Source organism: Homo sapiens, chromosome 10, assembly GCF_000001405.40.
Source record: "Homo sapiens chromosome 10, GRCh38.p14 Primary Assembly".
NCBI lineage: Eukaryota > Metazoa > Chordata > Mammalia > Primates > Hominidae > Homo > Homo sapiens.
The window spans coordinates 125,094,956-125,114,666 of NC_000010.11; the positions used below are offsets into that span (position 1 = coordinate 125,094,956).

The 19,711-nt window shown below is 47.2% G+C and overlaps 1 protein-coding gene across 26 annotated transcripts in view, besides 3 other annotated features; it reads right to left on the reverse strand.

The window, feature by feature from the left end:
• CTBP2 (C-terminal binding protein 2) overlaps positions 1-19,711 on the reverse strand; it is a 178,147-nt gene that overhangs the window by 110,639 nt on the left and 47,797 nt on the right. For 17 of the 26 annotated variants that reach the window (XM_047424671.1, NM_001083914.3, NM_001329.4 and 14 more), the window contains one exon: positions 16,035-16,138. The exons of 8 other annotated variants lie outside the window; for them this stretch is intronic. The gene's annotated coding sequence lies outside the window, so the exon portion shown is untranslated. Of the gene's footprint in view, positions 1-16,009; positions 16,139-19,711 lie in introns of all 26 variants that reach the window. One more of the 26 variants, XM_011539355.3, reaches the window with a different exon arrangement.
• Positions 7,699-8,523: an enhancer, noted in NCBI's record as "H3K27ac-H3K4me1 hESC enhancer chr10:126791223-126792047 (GRCh37/hg19 assembly coordinates)". NCBI's record gives its function as "activates a minimal SCP1, AML or CMV promoter by ChIP-STARR-seq in primed H9 embryonic stem cells {active_cell/tissue: H9 hESC(primed)}" and the evidence as "EXISTENCE:reporter gene assay evidence [ECO:0000049][PMID:30033119]".
• Positions 11,831-12,350: an enhancer, noted in NCBI's record as "H3K4me1 hESC enhancer chr10:126795355-126795874 (GRCh37/hg19 assembly coordinates)". NCBI's record gives its function as "activates a minimal SCP1, AML or CMV promoter by ChIP-STARR-seq in primed H9 embryonic stem cells {active_cell/tissue: H9 hESC(primed)}" and the evidence as "EXISTENCE:reporter gene assay evidence [ECO:0000049][PMID:30033119]".
• Positions 17,517-18,016: an enhancer, noted in NCBI's record as "H3K4me1 hESC enhancer chr10:126801041-126801540 (GRCh37/hg19 assembly coordinates)". NCBI's record gives its function as "activates a minimal SCP1, AML or CMV promoter by ChIP-STARR-seq in naive H9 embryonic stem cells {active_cell/tissue: H9 hESC(naive)}" and the evidence as "EXISTENCE:reporter gene assay evidence [ECO:0000049][PMID:30033119]".

The window sequence follows — 19,711 nt, forward strand, 5'->3', positions numbered from 1 at the left end:
GGGGTGGGCTCCAGCCTCTGAAGAAGCGCGGAGGAAGCAAGTGTGGCAGGGCTGGGTGGCGCTGTCCTGCGGATGCTGATTCAGAAGAAGCTGACCCACAGCCAAGTGTGGCTGAGGTGGAGCTGAGAACAGGAGGTCCCCTGAGGATGACTGCAGCCCCATCTTTTAGGGTAGGTCTCTCAACACACTCACAATTCCCATCCATGTCACTGCTCTGGGAGGAAGTTTGACACACACCTAGCAAACAGATCTTGGAAAAAATGAATCCCTAAATGTGAGAAGGTCTCTACTGACAAAGGCAAACAGAGGGGCGTAGGGTCCCAGAAAGCCAAGGTCAATGCCTAAGGCTCTGAATGCAAATACTCAGCATCCACCAGCCCAAACTCAGAAGGCAGCCCCAGCTACCACCAGGCTGCTCTGGAGTTACGCAGCCCAGCCACGCTTCCAAGGGATGTGGTCAAAACAGAAAGACCACCCAGCAAGGAGGGCAGGAGGAGCCTCATCTCACCACAGAAAAAGGGACGAAATGAACCTGGGAACAGCTCCGTTGGTGTTAGGGGTCACCAGGCCCCACCACCAGGAAAAGACAAGAACAGCCACTACCACATGCTCTGAGGACGCTAGTCCTTCTGGAACTGTGGGCCTCAGAAGGAAGCAGACTAAGATGCTCCTTCTTCCCACCAATACACCCCACGTCTGGGTGGCTCCTGATGACTTTTCGATGTTGGCAGATGTTTTGTGATGTCCTGACCTCAAAACTAGGTGTGTACAGGGACAGGGCCTGGGGATTCAGGCTGGAGCAGACGCTGAGCTTTGCAGACAGCACAGTTTCTGTAGGAAGTAGTAGGTTTCTCACTGTTTACAAAAGCTCTGTGGTGACTCCAGGTTTAGGCTAAAGATGACCCCACTCAGGATTCACTAAGCCTTGCTAAGGCCCAATGGTCATGAGGTGGGAGGCAGGGGAGTCCTTGCCTCTGCCAGGAAGTCCTGCCAAGTCTTCACCCCCTCGGCCCTAACGCAGCCGTTTCTAGGAAGCCCTATGAACTGTACACCCAAAGGCAAACCAGGAAGGGAGCGCAGGGAGTGGGGGCTCATCTCCTTTCCCTCCACTCCTTAATACTTAGGGGGTTATTCTTTTGTCCCCTTTGTCAAACACAAAAAAAGCAAAACACAGCACGCACATGGTTGAAATAAGACATGTTTGCATTCTTGTTCTAAGAACTCTGGCAACAAAATCCGAGTACTCAATTATGTAGCCCCACTATTAGTTAACACTTCATTACTATACTTCGTATTTCCTTTTCGTCTTTTTTTCTGAGAGTAGGTTAAAGAGAAAGAAGACAGTGAACTTTGCTGAACCTACCCCATGGGGAAAAAATGTCTCCAAGTTATGAAAAGTGAAAAAGAAAACAAAGATGCAAAATAACATAGTGATAAAATCTCTGCATGATTTGAGACTATCGCCTCATGAATCTAAAGCTGACTGATCAATACTTCCTATTTCCCAGCTCAGAAGTGGGACAACATCGCTACTCGACTAAACAGATGGCTAACCACAACCCAGTAAACCCCCTCCCTGCCGAAACAGTTACTGGACAGGAGAATGCAGGTTATAGCACGTGGTCATTTACAAAACTAAAAGGTATGAAACTCTCTGCTGAGTCAGGTTGCCTAGACACAGCTCTAACACATTCTGTCACCTAAGATTATCATATACATTAAGGTTTAAAAAAAAGCCAGCCAGCCCAGGTAAGAAATACAAAAGTCTACACGGCATGAAATAGCTCAAAGAGACTTGTTTGGTGGAATTAACTAGTGGTTTAATGGGGGGGTGGGGGGGAGATGTCTGATATACAAGAGTGCCCCAATTTCTTCCGAGAAATTAACATTTCAATCCTGTTTTTATCTAGAAGTCATTAAACTGTGCAACATGAATTATTGGAACTGTAGCAGCGAATTAACTCTATTCATCAACTAAGTCCAAACATTTTAGAGTGTATCTGTAATGAAAAAATAGCTCTACATTTCTATCTCTTCTCATTAAAGTAAACCAGTTTTCCCTCTCTCAGTATATAAAACTGTCTTCTCTTCACATAATTTATATTACCATAAGCTGGCACACATTCTAAACTATTACATGCCTCCAATTAATTTTTGCAGCTTTTGCCTGAAAATTTAATGAGATAGTAGTGGATGAACCTGCTGACTCCAGATTATGTGTGTGCTCCCAATATTAATGTTGGCACAATAAAATAATCTGATCCACACCTGACTCAAGCATTTCCCCTCGCTGGGGTATAAAGGTAATATGGAAACCAGGTCCGCTCATTTCAGTCTTTTAAATCCAATTACAAAATTTACTAGTCTCAAATTAAACTGCTCCTACTCATCAACCTGGGAGAAAAGGAGAAAGCAGCAGCACAGTCTAATTATCCCAACACCATTTCTATCAACACTGCAGGGAACAGTTACAATGGATGACTATTTGTCTAAGGCCTCAGTTCTCTACCGTGGAGAAGTCACAAGCCGCACTCCTCAAAGCCAACCCAAGGAAGCCAGCGCAACCCCCGTGATGAGTACAGGGTACAAGGAAGCCTGTTCTCTGTCCCGCTGCTACAGGCGCGCCTTAGGTGCATGCCTCACGTGGGGTCCATACCATTCACAATTTGTACACGTGTGCATATCAGTGTGTCCATGTCAGATGTATGTGTGCACACGTGTGAGCATGCACACGTGTGAGCATGTACATGTGCCTGAGTTCAGATGAATAGGTGAGGGGCATTGGCAACTTGAAGTCTCAATGACAGGCCCTCTGTAGTTCCTACTTTTTGCCAAAGGGTTGAGGTACAAGCAGAAGGCAAAAAAGGCCGACGAGGCTGGGAGCAGTGGCTCACGCCTGTAATCCCAGCACAGCACCTTGGGAGGCCAAGGCAGGTGGATCATGCAGGTGGATCACTTGAGGTCAGGAGTTTGAGATCAGCCTGGCCAACATGGTGAAACCCCATCTCTACTAAAAGTAGCTGGGTGTGGCGGCGGGCGCCTGTAGTCCCAGCTACTAGGGAGGCTGAGGCAGGAGAACTGCTTGAACCCAGGAGGCGGAGATCGCAGTGAACCGAGATCGCACCACTGCACTCCAGTCTGGGCGACAGAGCGAGACTCTGTCTCAAAAACCAAACGAACAAAAAATGCCAACAATACCAGTAACAGCAGCAGCAGTCAGTAATCAATGTTCAAAAAGTGCCTGCTATCCCCGTTTTCTTTTTTGCCAAGCACTGAGACGGTCCCAGCCATCAGTCCACAGGTGTGTGGACCCAGCACGTGTTCAGCTCTTGGAGTGAACGGAATGGAACTTAGGCAGACTACTCCCCAAATTCCATTCCCTCCCTAGGCTGCTAATGACAATGACACCCACATACACTAGCCCTGGTGGCTGAGAATATAGTAATATCAAGAGAATACACGGTACCCAGCTGCGTCTGGTATATGCGTGGTCCGTAAGGCATCACTTGGTTGATGTGTGTTTAACAGCCCTTAGGAAGGCCAGGACCTGGGGATGAGCGGGCCATGCTTCCGAGGATGGGGGTTTATGTCCAAAGATGGCCAGAAGACCCCCCTATTTGTACCTGTGCCCTGCACCTTCACAGTGCCAATGACGCAGCCTGGGGCTGCTGCGGGTGAACAGAGAGAGAAATGGGGGAGGGGGAGAGAGAGAGAGAGAGAGAGAGAGAGAGAGAGAGAGAGAGAGAGAGAGACAGAGAGAGAGAGAGACAGAGAGAGAGAGAGAGAGAGAGAGACAGAGAGAGAGAGAGAGAGAGAGAGAGAGACAGAGAGAGAGACAGAGAGACACCCAGGCCTCGGAGCTGCCCACCCTGTGCTACTTTAGCCTGGAGTCCTGGCTACAGCAAAGACCAAGGGGCTCAATCTGCTCTGGGGCCACCTCCTCCCTGCGCCCCCTCCATCCCCACCACTGGGTGTGTGGGGAATGGAACTGCAAAGCTTACAATAAACTCAGCAAGCTCACCTGACTGAGCATTTACCAAGCCAGAAAGCCTCCTTTCCACGCGCTGTCGGTCTGCAAGCATGGAGTCTAGGGAGACACTGTAGAAAAGCCATCATACTAGCACACGGTCAGGCACGTTCAGTACGCACAGGTTTATACCAACATCTAAACTATTTTAGGAAAAGGCTGTGGAGCAGAACATGCTGGGTGTGCAACTGAAACCTAGACCTAGGTTCAAATCTGACGTCTGTTCTTGCCAAGTGCCAAGAGAAATCAATTAACCCCCCTTATCCATCAATTTATAGGAATAAAGGTAAATACCTCAACCTTGTAAGGCTGTGCCACACACATAGGACCAACTCAAGCTGTGCAGCGTCTGGCACGCATGCCACATGAGGCTTCCTTTCCGGGGCAACTGGCTGGACCATTCTGGGCCCTCCAGATTAAAAGGGCCCTTTTCAACTCTGCTTTCCTGACCAGAGAAGGCCTGGGACATGAGCCCCAAGCTCCACCACTCAGCCCTCCCCCCAAGTTCACTGAAAGATACCCCCATCCTGAACTCCAACTGGAGCCATCTCTCTCCACTCCCTTTTCAGGGGGCAGCTTTCAAAGGGTACAATTCCTCACTCTCAATAAAGCAATGCTTCCTGCCTTAGAAAACCATCAACAAGTTTGTATGGAAAATAAGCTCTTGAGTTGTCAAAAACCCATGGCTAAAGGAGAACCCAAATGGTGCCAAGCTACCAGGGGAGGTGGCACCTCCAAGAGTGGCAGAAGGGTCCCAAGGACTGTTCAGGTCCACGGTCTCTTTCTCTGGACCCATCACTCCAGCCAGTCTGGTCCAGGCTAGGACGGAGTAGGGATGGGGGTGATAGATAAGACCAGGTCTGGCCAGCCAGGCTCTTCCCAGAACCAACACAATCCCAGCACACTGTGGCCAGAAGCATCCTCAAAACAGGACTTTGCGCAGGCTCAGATTCAGTCCTAAGGCACCAGAAAAAACAGCCTTAAATTTGACACTGCCAAGTCCTGGGGGGGCGGACACAGAAGGTCTCATCTAGATCACACATAGACTCTGAAAACCTTCTCATATTGAAGAACGGGAGCTATTAACTGTGTTAACGGCATGCACAGATGTTGTCTACATCTAAAAATTCCCAAATACATCAATTAGCATATTATAAAGAATTTACTTCCATTTTCCCTTGACAGATCATAAAGACCAAAATGTAACGCTCATGTTTGAATTGACAAGTGCGTATGGCAGAAGATGCTGTATTAAATGCAGACAACAGTGAAAAAAATGGTATTTGATGATTGGCCACCCAATTCTCAGAGTACAATGTCAAAAGCCAGAAATCCATTTATTTAGTAACCAAAGCTCAATATCACACAAGTCACTTGGGCTCTGGTAAGGGAAGTTCTACCATCTGCACTTGGTAATTCCACTGTTCCGCTCATTTCCTAGGTAAGATACTGGGAGCATGTGTGGAAAAGCAAGACAAGGCTACAACCCAGGGGCAAATACACGTGCACACACGTACACAAATCAAAGGAACAAACATTTTTGGAAAAAAAATTTTTTAATTTAATTTTTAAACAAAAATAAAAGAAGGCGTAACAACATTCTTATGTGCTGAAATTCTAAGCATGTCTTTATTTGTATGTTTAGAAAGGATCCTTTTACAGGAAGGAAGGGCTGGAGGAGATAAGGATGAGAGGAAAAACGCGAATAACATAAAACTAAAATTAATAGATGCAGAGTTGTCCTTCTTCCCATTCTTCCAGAATCCTCTTCCTAGATTGCAAATCAAAATCTGCATTTAAATAGAATGTTTTTAGTGTAGGAAAGAGGAAGCCCTAGGGTACAAAGGTATTGCATTCAGGATCTATGGGCACAATACTGTATTTTAAATGAGATGAAGACTTTTGAAATTTACTGAATATATGACATATTCCAAACTGTCTTGTTATTACTACTATTTTTACTAAATTCTTCTATCCTAATAGGTGTTTCTCTTTTATGGCCAGAACTTTTAATAAAAGTAATGTGATATTACATCATTCTATCAATTAAATCTTGAGAAAAGATTACACGATCCAGGGATCTTATAAGCTGTGGGCTCTGATAATTCCAGCCATTATTCAGTGTGAAATTCAAACAGTCTGAATTCATTAACATTGGTTGTTACAAATCGGCATTTTTAGACTTTGCCATAAAATGCAGGAGTCCAGACCCAGTGACCTGAATCTAACCGCCTTTCATGTGAAGTGGCCGTGTTCCCGGCCTCTCCCAGTGTGGCTCTCGAGAGAAAGCCTCATGTCTTCGTCCTCTCCATGGCTGGCCTCAGGCTCTTTGGTCACACTTAATGTTCAGGCAAATTGCAGAGACCTCAAGCCATTTAAAGGAGTAGAGACATGTTCCCAGGGAAGGATGTCCATTACGAAACAGATGTCCAGGTGGGCATAGGAGCGGGTGCAGCAGCATGGTGCCAGCACCTCGCCTTGGCTGCGGCTGGGATCAGCACACCCTCACAACTAAAACCCCAATGCGTGACATTTGGGAAAGGCTTCATGGAAACCCCAAACCTTTCACTGCTTGATAGGAAAACATTATTACCAGGTCGATGGGCAAGGAGTGAGCAACCCACATCCCAAGTGCCAGGTGGAAGACAGAACCTTCAGGAACACAGCAGACCTTCACGACCAAGAAAGGTTTGAGTTCCGTTCGTCTTGCATCGAAATGTTCATTGCAACATAGACCACAGGTACCGGCTTGGAGAGATGCAACCTGTACTACCTTCCCCTCCAGCCCAGCCAGGCGAGCAGGGCATCTCCCACATGCTAAGCCTTTGGCTGTGTGCATTTACTGCTGCTACTGCAGCAATCATCTTTGTGTGTGTACATATATTCATGGGGTACAAGTGCAATTTTCTACATCCATACATTGCATTGTGGTGAAGTCAGGGCCTTCAGTGCCTCGATCGCTGAAACAATGCACATTGTACCCACCAAGCCACCTCTCATCAGCCTCCCTCGTCAGTCCCCATAATGTCATTCCAGACTCAGCAGTCATTCTTGACTAAGCTCTTAACATGTACCAGGTATCTGTTAAGCCCCGTTCAGTACTGTTTCATTGAATCCCCACAACTCTGAGATTAAGCACTACTACCTGCTGCATTTGCAAGAGGGGGAAACTGAGGCACTAGGCTCAGAGGGGCATAGTTTGTCCAAGGTCAACACCATCAGAGGAGGACAAGGTCAAGTTGTAAACATTTTTTGGCCATACCATGAGGACTCTGCCCTCCTGCCATCACCAAGGCCAGGACCAAGTCCTGTGCAATTAGAATCATTACCTTCCCCTTGCAAACATCAGGAGGAAGTGCCAGAGCCGCTGGGGCTCCTGGAGGGAGTGACTGTTATGATGCAATTCCATGCTAAAGAATTCTTCCTGGCCACATCAAACTCTGCATCAATCTGCTCTGTTTAAACACACAGGCAGAGAGGGCTTTCCGGCCTTCAGCAGGCCTCTGCAGTGCTGCCACTTAAGCCCAGGGTTTGCAGGGGGGTGGGGATCAGAGCACAAATCAATGTTGAGTCCTCCTTCCCAGAGGAAGCTGTCGCCCTGTGTCATGGTTTAGAGGTCATCTTCTGCTGTAATGAGGGAGTGGCAGTGAGTTTCAATTGAATTACAAAAAGCCAGGAGTACTGTACTCTCATCAAAGTGAAGGTTTTTTTTAACAAATGTGGGACTGGGGCCGTCAGTTACACATGCAGGAAACACCAGCTTCCAGGCCTCTGAAGGTGAGCAAAGCAGCAGCCACCATGCTGGGTCCTTGAATTTGATACAGAAGCCATCTGAGCTTTGTCTCGAGGGACCCAGGCCTACAGGACTTGCAGAGCCAGTGGGCCTTCTTGCTGTCCTCATCATCCCAGCTTGGATGTAGTCAGGTTGGCTGAACCACATTATCCCTCACCTACGAGGCTGCCGCAAGAGCAGCACCCACAGGTGGCGGGAGAGTACAGCTGGGTCCCCACACCCTACCTGCATGGGTTTAGACTCCCCGCCCTACTTGCACAAAGGAGAGGCGGGGGCATGACTTCACTTCCCTGCGGTGGAAAGCTCAAGAACACGGCGTGATTATCTCAGAACATGCACACCTCCCCTGAACAGGTAGTATAACATGCTGGGTTGCCTTCTGTCTGCAGAAAACACTCCCAGCTAACACAGAACCAACCCAGCCTTCCAGACAGCTGCTGCGATGCGCTCCTACATGTGCCCAGCCCACTCCACACCCCCCTGGCCCCACTGCAGCCTGGATTCATTCATTCAAAAAATTACTTCTGGGGCATCTACAATATGCAGGCCATGCACAGAATTAAGGGGACAATGAGCTCAAGGAGCTAGCTCTGCTTCAGGGAGCTGCGGAAATCACTCTGGAAGGTTCTAAGTTCGTAGTCAGAGTCCTGCTCCTTGGTCCAAGTCCATTTACAACACTTTTTAACTTCCCCTGATACAGGAATCAGAAGGCTCAGGGAGTGAGAAGAGACACCCTTGGCTGCTGCACTAAGAGGGACTGAAGACTCCCTCCAGACAACAGGCCACCCAGGCAGAGGGAGCCCAAATGCTCACAGGAAAGCCAACCCCAGGAGGTACAGACGCTTCTGCGACATGCAGAAGAGACAAAGTGGCCTCGAGCAGCTGGAGCCAAGGTCTCCTAGGACGCAGGCCCCATCCATGCCCCCCAGGCGTCCCACCACCGCGGAAGTGGGTGATAGGGAGGACTCACTTGCCATGACCAGCTGAACCAAGGGGTATATCCTACAAACCTGCAGTGTCCGGGAAAGAGGCGAGCTTCCCCCAGGAAAGGGGGCAAGCCTGTCCCACAGCTCTGGGACCCTCCTGTAAGCACCCTCCCACCCCTGCTGAAGAGCCTCTCCCCCTACATCCCTGAGGAAACTGATCACCCAAGCTGAATTTTTCAAGGAGTTGCAGGTTACACCCTACCCACGACAACAAAGGTTTCCTTTGAGTTAAACAACGTATAGCTGAACCGGAAGAGGGAAGGTGACCACGGGAAAGGTGTTGCATTACAAGGCTCAGGAATTCGATACCTTCACCACCAATTCTCGTTTTCCACAAATCCCTATTAAAAGACAGCACGGTACCGTTCCCAGAAATCAAGGCTCACACCACGTGGAGCTGACTGGATGCTCACGGGGACATTCGATCCCAGCGGCCTGGAGAAAGGACGGAACAGGAGGACCCTGTGCGGGCGCCATTGTTGTTCATCAGTATACATTTATAAAGAAACGGAAATTAAACACTGTCATCAGATGCTCTGCACTGCTGCTCATCCACGGCTGTGTTTTTTCATCCTCCCACATTAACATTTCCCCCTAATGTTCTATCTTTTTGCCATATATAATTAATTTTAACAGCTTCTGCAACTTCCCCACAGGTTGTTGCTGTTTCTTTTAAACAGTATACTGCTGAGAAATTGATTTGTTTGCTCCGCGTGCCTGAAGAAACCACATTATGAAATATGTATAAATGTCACTGTTCGGGCTGCTTCTCAGGATAAGTGCAGAAAAACGTTCCATTTTACCTCCTTACACAGGAGTCCACTCACGGAGGCTACTCGCATGTATTACCCGTGTGCTCACACACAAATGCCGATGAATTACGCAGCATTTTCTTTGAAAACCTCCTATTTATCCTTAACTGGTACAAGGCTAGGGGAATCATCTTAATTGCTACATGGAAAGAATGAATTGCAAAAGCATTCAGTCGACCAAGAAGACTTTATTTTTAACAGCATGGGGCCAGGTGGAAGTTGCCAAGTTTGCCAAAAATAAATGAATCAACCAATCAATAAAGCAAATGTGTTCAGCTGGTGTTAAATGAATGCCTGGGAAGAAGGAAGCCACAGACAGCACGTCCTTCTTTCTCCCCTTCTCCCGCCCCCACCCCTGTGAAAACACCAGGCCCGAGGACACGAGGGTCATGGGAATTCTCAGCCATTTCCTAAATCGTTACTTTTATTTATTTATTAATTTATTTGAGACAGGGTCTGCCTCTGTCACTCAGGCTAAGTAGAGGGGTGTGATCACAGTGCACTGCAGACGTGAGCTCCCAGGCTCACACAATCTGGCCACCCAGGCATAGGCAGGCGCCGCCACCTGGCCGAGTTTTAAAAACATTTTCTGGAGATGGGGTCTCCCTCTGTCACCCAAGGCTGAGTGCAGTGGTGCAATCATGGCTTACTGCAGCCTTGACCTCCCAGGCTCACACAATCCTCCCACCCAGCTACTCTGGAACCTGAGGACCACAGATACACACCACCACCTGGCTGATTTTTTAAAAAAATTTTTTTATAGAGATGGGGTCTTGCTATGTTGCCCAGGCTGGTCTCAAACTCCTGGGCTCAAAGGATCTGCCCTCCTTGGCCTAAATCATTACTTTAGAAAATGCATCCAATTATCTGCTCCTTCAACAATGGTCAAAATTCAGATCCAGATACTAAATCCTAAAATTACTGAAAGTAACCAGGCTCTTGCACTTCTGAGCTATTTTATCAGCATTTGTAGCTGGGGGAGCTGCTCTAAGTTGAAACTAATGCCCCTTTACACTTGAACCTGGCAGATCCCTCAAGCTTCAGTGAAATGCTGTGTGTCCTTCCATAAAGACCAACTGAAACTGCTTAAAACCAAGACATTTTTTTAAAAAAAAACAAGTTATTGGTCTAATGCATTCTAAGAGTATTAATACAATCAGCAATGGTAACGCATAAATGTTAAGCAAAAATATTTACAGAAAGAAATAACCTTTTCCTCTGCCACTAATCACACCCAGCAACACTTGATTAGTAAGCCAACATTTTAATAAGAGAAAGCTCACTTCCCTGCCTACTCATTTGCACATCGGCATCTACGCCCCAGCCTGAAACTTGACAGTAAACACAATGCACCACCACTCCCTTCAACAAGTGAGGCTCTGGCCCTGCCGCTCACTCCATCCACTCCTTCCCACTCTTCTTGCCTTTAACAAACACACGCTCCAAGCCTCAGAGAAATCAGCCGCTGACCCGTGTCTCTGGCTGTCCCACACAACAGGGCTGCCATCCCTCAGTTCAGTGGCCAGGCCTGTCTAGGGCACAAGGGGGTCTCCACCAGGGTTGGCTGATGAGGGGTAGCAGAGGCCCATTCTCTGCACACTGCCACACTCTCAGCGGAAAGATGCACCCCATGTGCGGCCCCACTTCACATGGACCAAGTGCTCTTCCTCCCACAACCCTGGGTGTGGGGACGGTACCATGACAAACCTGAGAAAGCTTCCAGGAATATCAAAGCCCCCGGGAAGCCATCTTCACTGTAAAGGGACCCTGCAGTGTATGGGAAGCCAGGCTCACTACCACAGTGTTTCCGGAAAGGCTTCCACCAGCAAGGGACGCGGGGCGACCTGAGTTTGGGGTTGCTTCATCGGCTCCTGAATGCCAGATATACCTAAGGCCACACATGCTGGCAGGTGGATCTGGGCGTCAAGTTCTTCACTAACAAAATGGGGGTCTTGGGAAGGGTATGAGGATCACGGAAAGAGAAGCGGACACCACGCCTCCATTTCCCAGCATAACGTCACTCAGTGGCAACAGAGACTCCTGGCCCCGCCAAGAGTGAGAGGCAAGTGTGCCCACCATCCTGCAGATGCCCTGCTCGGAGGTACCCCTCCAGCGAAGGAGCAACTCAGCAGGAACCCACCCAGGCCGGCCACACAGTGTTGACACATGGGTCACAGTGGGAAAATTCAGGCCTTCTGCCTGGTCTCTTCCTCCCTACTTTGCAAATCCACTCTGATGAGAACCAGCAGCCAGGGTGGCGCAGGAAGCGGAAAACAACAGTAACAGCAGAAAGCCAGACTCACCAGGAGAATGGAGGGCGTGACCCCTGTGTGACCCTGGACCCATGTAGATGCTAAAGCAAAAAGAAGGGGAATGGACGGGGTGATCTCTCCATCCCTACTTGGGAGGCCACACTAGGTTGCTGAGATGCTCAGGAGAGAAGAACAAACACTGAATCAATGCCTCCCATTTATCCTTGGGGGGTGGAGGGAGGCTGGGATTCCGAAGCATAACTCACATCCAGAAGGCACAGGAATAAAATCCAAGCAAGAACCAAGAGCTTCAGCGGGGGCCCCTCCTCCCCTACTCCGAAGGCTGGCTAAAGCTTCGCTGGCATCTTCCCCACTGCCCCATCTCAGCCTCCTGACTGTTTCTCACCTAGAGAACCCCAGAGATGAAAGGCCCTGTGGATCTTCCTCTGGTTTGTGGTTTCGGATGTTGGCAGTCTTGCTTCTGGCCCAAACACTGGAGCAGGATCACACGGCCCTAGCAAAGGCCCCACGGATGCATGCAGGCCAGGAGCTCAGGAGGCCAAGGGCCCGAAGGACTCTGGGGGCCACACACTGGGACCAGAGTGGCACAGTGGCCATGGCGCCAACACCTCCACCACTTCACAACCATTGACAATCGGACCCCAAGGTTTAGGTATGTGTTTCCAGAGTAATTCAATACTTTCCTTCTGTTTTTCATGGAAAAAAGATATCTGTCCTGCCAGAAGCAGGCTAGAGGACCAATGATCAGGAAGATGACCTCAACTAGGTGGCCTGCTACAGCCACAACTCAGATGGAAATCCAGCCTAGTTCCCACAGCAGATCAAGGCAAACCCCTCTTCCACCACCAAGCACACTGAGTTTCCAGCACTGTGTCACCTCAGACTGTCTTTCCCAGAGGCCCTGGTCGGCAGGCCAAGCTTCTACATCATCCTGGAGATCTGTCAAAATACATAATACAGCATGCATGGCAGCCGGAAACAGTCCTATCTTTGCAAAACCACAGCTGCAACTATTCTACCACCATTTTACGTAATATAATAAAAGTTAAGGGATTTGATTTGCATTCCCCCTCATTTATGAGCATTTAACCAAAAACACTTTTTCTGTGACACTTTTGTTAAAAAAAGATAATTGGGTACTGCTGCAAATATTAATGCTTAACAACAAAATAGTACTAAAAAACCATGACCCAACTGAAGTGATGGAGAACGAAGTCTTTTTCCAGGAGAAGCCAGCAAAGCCATCTGGCACATTGAGCTTTCATTCTGACAAATAGCAACATACAGAACAGATAGTAAAAGCAGAACATGCATCCGATCTAAATTTAGCACGTCACTATTCATTACTGAGAGAACGAGCCTCTTGTCAGGAGAAGGCTGAAGTGTTTGACGTCAAGTTACTAAAAAAGACGGCCATAAACCAAAATATTAAGTCTAGCACAACAGGAATGGGATGCTTTTAAAATTAGGACATGCTAAAGAAAATACTAAGAGGGCAAAAACGATGTATAAATGGCTCTAGGGCCTCACGGATTCACCATTACCTCTGATGGTGTCACGTGATTTTCATCTACCTCCTTCTTCTGTGCCCACATTTTAAAAGATGTGTCTAGACCAGAGATCTCAACAGGTGGGCTCTGGTTGAAATCCATACGTGGTCCTTACTTTGGTTACAATCCCACATGACCTCCTTGTGTTGCTGCATGTAGACAGCAGGCAGAGCTGGATACAACTCCCTGGGCATGGTGACGTTCCACAGAGCAGAAAGGGTCTGAGAGCAAACACACGCCTTCTGGGGCCATGTGAGAATTCCACCATGAGAGCATCTGCAAGTGGTCAGGGGAGAAGTTTTATCCTGCTTCTGGGGTGGGCTGGGCGGGGAGCAGGTGGGCCAGTGGGGCCACACTCAGTGTGTGCGTGGGCCGTGGACACCATGAGCTGTTGTCACAGCACAGTGACCATGCTCCAGTGATGGCCAGCTCCAGTACCACACCAAGTCTCTTAAGCTCTTCCAAAGTGCTATAAAAAACTCTTACCCAAAAGGATGCCAAAAATACAGGAATGGTGGGAACCCCACATAAGGGTAAGTGTCTTGAGTCTGCTTAGCACTCAGGAAACATTTGTTAACAGGAAGCGTGTCACAATTTCATTCTGGTTCTGGATGCATTTGGAGAATGTTAACTCATCTGTCTGAGAGGGAGATCACTGCTAAACAGGATCCCAGAGTGGCTCTGGTTATTAGACTGAGTCAAATGAAAGTGTCCTCATTCAACCATTTTTGATATTTAAAAAGTCCATTTCATCCTTATACACCAAGTTCCCACATCCTTCTGTTTAGAGAAAATGATTTCCAACACTGAAATGAGCATCTATGAAACGTAATGATGGTCCATCCAGCGGAGATGCTCCCAGGCAGGCAGGGCCTGGTACTTGTCTGGGTGAAAGAGCGTGGATGTCCAACATGGCCAGTTCCATGGTGTCCAACTGGAAACATCACCATGACCCAACCCACTGAAAACATCTTTGGACCCAGCACCCAACACTGGAACTATCTTTGCCAACCCCAGGCCCAAGGTGACTTTGTCTCTGCCTGAGAAACCCGGGCAGATTCTAGCACACAGGTCTGAGAGTGAGAGCCAGAAAAGTAAGCAACGTTTGTCCTGAAAGGCTGAACTGAATAAGGTTGCGAGTGGCGGTCCTGACCTCCCTCAGGTTTCCACCAAAGAACATTCCATCAGACTTCCAGTTCCTCATCCTCCTCAATGCTAAGAGCCTTAAGTGTTCAAAGATGACTGAGGGGCCCCTCTCATACACAACTCAACTCGAGCTTCACGCTCTGCTATGGCCTTTGGCCCAGCAAAGCCCTGTCAGAGCACTCCCAGGAAAGGGTTCTGAATTTCTACATCAAATTCAAGCTTAAAGGGTGGGGAGGGTCCTGGGTACCAGCCCAATCCACCTGTTCGATTCACAGATAAGGCTTCCGAGTGCCAGCAGAGACCACTTGCTCAGTCACCAAGCTGGTAAGCAATATTTGGAGGTCTAGGTCTGGGTCAGCTACCTCAGTTTCCCCAGCTAGATCTACTTTATGGAGAAAAGGAAGGGACACACAGAGATCCTTTCCTGATCCTACAACCCACTGTGCTGCTTAGGTTCAGGCAGAGATTCAGCTTGGCCCCCTCAGGTGGTCACCCATGTGTGCCCCTGGGCTCCAAGTCTCTAACTGCCTCCAGCAACTCAGGAAGCCAGGCCTGAGGGCCTGGTCACAAACTTAAACCTCTCTGGGAACCAAAGCTAGTCCCCTCAAGGCTCTGCTAGGAGTGTGACAGGTGAGAGAGACAGGACACAATTGGCTAGCGGTTTCCCTTGCTTTTGAATGATGTTGTTACCTCACGGGGAAAACATTTTTTTTTAAAAAGCAAGATTAAAATCAATTCCATCAGAGAAGTTGCCACTTTGAGACTTTAAGAAAGATCCAGGTTTTGTGAAAAATGGCTAAAGACATGCCGAAATGAAACTTAGAATCCCAAAACCCTGCTACGGGCACAGGATTGAACTCCATCCATCAATGAGTGTGGTAGGGATTGAATGCTCATCTCAGCCTGCACCCACATTCCCAATCTACTCCGCCAGAAAAATCATGGTATGTTCAAGACATCCTAGAGGCTGGTAACACTAAAAGCCTAAGCTGACTGAAGAGGTGCCAGTATCCACAAGCCGCCTTCTTCCTAAAGACATCCATCTATCACTTATGACTGACTCGGGGTGTCATGAGATGGTTTCTCTAATTCATTTTTATTCTTTTTAATTAATACATCGAGAAATCCTAACACTATTTCCATTCTGACTTGAGTTTCCTTGTAGCATAATTTCCGTTGACTTATCTCTATAGCAGCAGCAGCAGCAAAAATCACTTTACACTGAACTATATTGCTTCAGAGTTAATTACATGTATTTTGCTTTTGATAAATGAAAATACTAGATGCAATTAATTGAAAGACAATCAATATGATCCCACGATTAGACATCCCAATGAAACAGCCAGAGGCTGCAGGCAATCCATACTCATCAACTAATTGAACACACATTGCAAAGGGGATTCTAGAAAACTGAACTTTTACCTGGAGATATTTCACAATAACTCACCAATATAAATCTGTCCACAAACTCTATAGTTCACACGATGGGCTGTCCGTCTTTTTAAGGGAATACACCTTCATTGGTTCAAAACCATTTAAGGTGATGAAACCCTGAAAGCAAAATGAATGGAGTCAGTGAAGATGAAGTAGAGATTTTTTTTTTTTGTTTACATCTAGGCATCCTTTAATTGCATTTTTCCAATGCCTTCGACTCTAAGCTACCAGAGGTTATTAAATGGTTTCATTAAAAATACTATTTGTCTTGCTTTAGTCACACACCAGATCAAATTAAACAGTAGAGCACCAGAACAAATGAACCCTTTCCATCTATTTTGACACAAAGCCAAGTGTGCAAAAGCAGAAGGTGATATTGTGTCATCACCGTGAAAATGTCATTTAGCTTTCTCTACATCTCCAAGTAGCAAGCAAAGGGACAAAAGAATCAATACCTTCAAGCAAAAAGTATTACCAACTGTTTTGAGAAATATGGAATTATAAAGTGCAAATCATGAGCCCACGGTTTATAAGTGCTATTAGCATAAATGCTGACAACTGTTAATCTACTGTAACTCTGATTAACGGTTGCAGTTGTCCATTAATAGAAGGCATTTTAACTTACTACTGAAATTGATTACTCAGTTAAGAATTCAATCCTAATGTTCAATAAAATTGCACTTTCTTGGCAAATGCAATATGAACCGAGGTGATGCATTAAACAGAACTCCCATTTATTTTACTCTACATGGAACAGAGAAGGAATACATGGTGGGACCCACATCATCCGAACTACTTCCTATGCACACACAGCTGTGAGAGAAGAGAGCAAAGTTCCTCCTTCTGCGGCTGATGGGGAAGGCAGACAACCTGTGCAGCAGGCATGTCCAGGTGTCCTTTCTACGGCTTTTCCAGGAAGAAAAGATGGAATTTAACACTGGAGTTGCTATGTAACTGGAGAGCCCATGTATGAAGGTAGTCTTGCTCGAGCCCCACGAGAGAGGGAAGAGGCACACTCTAAAGACATGAGCTGCTGCAGCCAGGCCTGACATTGCCAACCCCACCTTACAACCAAGTTTCAAATGGTTAATATACAAAAAGGCACGAACCACATTCCCAGCTGCATTTGACTTTTTTTTTTTTTTTTTTTTTGGGAGAAAGAGTCTCACTCTGTCACCCAGGCTGGAGTGCAATGGCGCGATCTCGGCTCACTGCAAGCTCCGCCTCCTGAGTTCAGGCAATTCTCCTGCCTCGGCCTCCTGAATAGCTGGGACTACAGGCGCCTGCCACCACACCTGGCTAATTTTTGTATTTTTAGTAGAGATGGGGTTTCACCACGTTGGTCAGGCTGGTCTTGAACTTCTGACCTCAAGTGATCCACTGGCCTGGGCCTCCCAAAGTGCTGGGATTACAGGCGTGAGCCACCGCGCCCAGCCATCATTCTACCTTTTTCGTTTTTTTTTTTTTTTTGAGACGTAGTCTCACTCTGTCACCCAGGCTGGAGTGCAATGGCGCCGTCTCGGCTCACTGCAACCTCCGCCTCCCAGGTCCAAGGGATTCTCCTGCCCCAGCCTCCCTAGTAGCTGGGATTACAGGCGCATGCCACCATGCCCGGATAATTTTTGTATTTTTAGTATAGACGAGGTTTCACCATGTTGGTCAGGCTGGTATCAAACTCCTGACCTTCTGATCTGTCTGCCTTGGCCTCCCAAAGTGCTGGGATACAGGCATGAGCCACCATGCCCAGCCAACATTCTGCTTTGTAAACCATTCAAATCTTAGGAAGCTGTAGATACCTAAAAGAACTTCCCCTCTTTTAATGGGGCTTTTAATTAGCAATGGGGCTAATCTCCTAGGATCCAATCCCGTGACAGGCATTTTCCTGCATGATTATGTAGCAAGTCATAAAGAAGAACTGCTACACTCATGGTTTCCATTCAAAAGAAAACCATGCTCCCTGCTGTTTCCACTGAATTCAATGAGTCCTCCGACAGCCAGCTCCTGCTCCACACCTAGAACCAAGTCACTGGCAGGAAGGACTCTGAAGAACTACTCAGGAAAAGCATGGACTCTACAGTCAAGGTTATCATGTACCCAAGGTCAAGTAGTAATTCACTCCCAACTGTACACCACACTGTAACCCACACCTCTTAAGGAAGTAGATGGGAGACAGACATTCCAGCCTCAGAAGTGTTAGGAAGGGAGGGACAAGCATAGCTTTTCAGTAATCCCAAGCCTATAGTGACACAAGCATCTAACAGCCAAGGAACTATTTTTTTGAGGTGGCAGAGCTTGCCTGGCAAACTCCTATCCACCCTTCAAAACCCATCTCACAGGTTATCTTCTTTAACATCTTCCCTACTCTAGCTGGCAGGCTACTATATACCCTGCCCATCTCCAAGTCTCTAAAGGTTAAATGCCTTTTACTTAATCACATTTTATTTATCTTTGAAACATAGTAGGGAATCAAATATTTAATTAACTGCAAAACAGAATTTATACTCCTGATTAGTGTTGCTTGTCTTCGTATGTCACAGGCTTTCTCCTTCCATTTCCAATGGTTTACACAGAATTTCCAAAAATATAAAGGGATTGTATCTATTTTCAGGAAGTAGTCCCTTTTGGAAAGGAAGGAGGGATGGAAAAGGAACTGGGGAGGTGCACCTTAGCAATGACTATAACATTACTTGTTTTTGAACAATGTCTGAAGACAAACGTAGCAACATGTTAACATCTACCTAATCTTGATGGTGGGTACAGGTTCTAATTTGAGATATTTCATAGTAAAATTAAGTAGGAAATAGACAAGTCTGCCTTGTAGAAGGCTTCACAGAGGAGGTGACATTTCGTGGAATTTCAAGCCGGGCGTTCAAGCAACTGTGCTGCCTGTCCCAGTGAACGGCGACAGCTTATTTAGTGGAATAAGAATGTTAAAAGGCTTGGAAGACTGTCAGAATTTTAAAGCAAGTGCTCGTTGTTACTTGAAGGTCAAAAGAAGTACTTTAAAAAGACTGGAGCTACAGAAAAGCTAAAGATTCAAAAATACTTGTTTCAGCAGATACTTGCTGACAGTGCGGCGTGGACTAGTGCCCCGAGGATTCACCAGGGGATATTTTCTTGGCAGGATTTCTCTAAGAACTTCCAGGAGTATACAACGAGACGCAGAAATGACTTAGCTGATTAAAATCACCACTACTTCTGAACCAGCAACCGCAGGAGCTGAAGTGGCCTCAGCGTGTAACTGCCGGTCAGCATGCCCACCCCCTCCAAGTTCACGTGGCTGCTTCGGGCCAGACAGGGGTCCTATTTCTGGCCTGTACCATCAACCTGCGTGAACTTATTAAACATCCCGCGGCAAATGTGATCTGCCTACAGCTGATGACAGGGGGGTGTGTACTCTCACACATCCCAGAAGAGAACCGCAGCACCCAGAGATGGATTTGGGGGTGGGAGTCCCAACCAGACTGTGGTCAGCTAGTTCCTGCACCTTCCACATATAGGAAACTCACAACTGAGGCTGCAGTACCTAGACAGGACCCCCTACCCCACCGCCACTGCTTGGGTGTTTTGTTCTTATACTAAGTCAGGCATACAAAAATTACGTTTTAGGTCTGTAGTGAATAAATCCTTTTCTTAGAAACTAAATGAGACTAGAACCTTTAGAAGCCTTCAATGAGCCCTAAAAAGGTC